The sequence below is a fragment of the Homo sapiens genome, chromosome 8 (genome assembly GCF_000001405.40).
Source record: "Homo sapiens chromosome 8, GRCh38.p14 Primary Assembly".
Lineage (NCBI taxonomy): Eukaryota > Metazoa > Chordata > Mammalia > Primates > Hominidae > Homo > Homo sapiens.
The window spans coordinates 134,456,518-134,458,029 of record NC_000008.11 but is presented as its reverse complement, the minus strand read 5'-3'; the positions used below and the strand labels follow the sequence as shown (position 1 = coordinate 134,458,029).

Sequence of the window (1,512 nt, the reverse complement as noted above, 5' to 3'; positions counted from 1 at the left end):
GGCGTCCCACAAATGTCTGTTGAATGAAACAAAAGAACACCAAATGAACAGGGAGGCAAACGGAGAAAGAACAGTGGTACTACAAAATGAATGTACGAAGCTCTGTGGTCTGCTGCGTGATGTCAGCCATCTTTCCTGGTCTCTTACGACATCTGCAGGAATGGATCTGTTTCCCACTCCTGCCTGTGGCCTTGGTGTTACTGGTGGCTGCACTGACATTCCGAGTCCCACTTCGGGGTGGGTGTGGTCTGGAAGAGAGGCTTCCTTGGGGCTGCCGGCATTTCCCCTCCCCAGAGTCCAGATCTCTGTCCCGTCCCCCGGGGGGACTGCATGGCCATCCCTATGAAAGCCAGTGCCAATTTGAGAGAGAAGTGGATGGAGCAGGGACAGATGTTCCCTACCTCCCTTCACCCAAGGAATGGAAAACTCCGCCCGGAAATTTGCTGGAACAAACTGTGTCAAGGGTCGGGCGGGGGGCAGGCGGGAGGAAATAATATACATTCGTCATTCCCCTTTGCAGCCTGCCCAGAGGCTTCACGCAGCACCTGGGATGTCACTAAAAGCTGGTCCCAGGGGAAGACGTAAAGCCTCGCAGCTGATAGGTTGCCGTGGGCGGGTCAGGGCCAATCAGAACTCAGGCCTGTGTCCCAGAGGCCCGCCCAGCTGGCCCAGTCATCTGAGGGCAGGGTCCTGAGAGCACAGTGGGAGGGGGGGTCAATCGCCACATTGTAGCTCGTTTGATTTTGGGTGGGTTGAAGGAAAAACCTGAGACGGGATGCCAGCCTTTGTCAAGGGAATGTCAGCCTTTGTCACGAGCATGTCAGGCGCTGCATGACGCGGCAGGCAGGCGCCTCTGGTTCCAGGCGGAGAGAGAAGGACTGGCAGTCCCGCAGAGGGGTCTGTGACAGGGCGCAGGTGCCGGAGCTGGGGGCTCCAACTCTCGTCATTTAGCTGCTCCATGAATTATTAATGGCTGGCTATAAAACACACACACAGAGCTGAGCATCATTTTGCCATCATTCAGCTCTGTACTCTTTTCTGTACTGTGAAGATAAAGGTTCCGTTTGATCATGGACAGGAGTGGCACTGAGATCCTGCCACTTCACCTTCATAGTCTCCAGAGATGACAGGGGCACCGCCTGTGGTTGGCTCTTAGTAGTCCTCAGTGCTTTTATGTAAATGCTTGGCCCTCTTCCCCAGCCCTTCATTCCTTTTCCTGATTTTCCTCTTTTTTCCCCAGCCATTCTCTGTGCCTGAAGGAAAGGTTTTGTCTGCCTTGTCACTATCTGGTGCCCCTGCCCCCTGCAGCTCCCAGGTCCCTGGCTGCCTCTGGGTGGAGGCTTTCCACAGCCCAGGACGCTGCATCTGGACCAATAGCTCCTGCACCAGGGATTGGATTTGCAGCTTTAATCCTCCTGATGCGCTGTCAGGAAAGAGAAAACTGAGAAAGAGAGCAGAGTTTTTTTCCTCCCCGAGAACTGCCAAGACAACAACAACACACACACACACAAA

General features: G+C 54.4%; 1 annotated feature.

The window, feature by feature from the left end:
* Positions 310 to 810: an enhancer, noted in NCBI's record as "H3K4me1 hESC enhancer chr8:135469463-135469963 (GRCh37/hg19 assembly coordinates)". NCBI's record gives its function as "activates a minimal SCP1, AML or CMV promoter by ChIP-STARR-seq in primed H9 embryonic stem cells {active_cell/tissue: H9 hESC(primed)}" and the evidence as "EXISTENCE:reporter gene assay evidence [ECO:0000049][PMID:30033119]".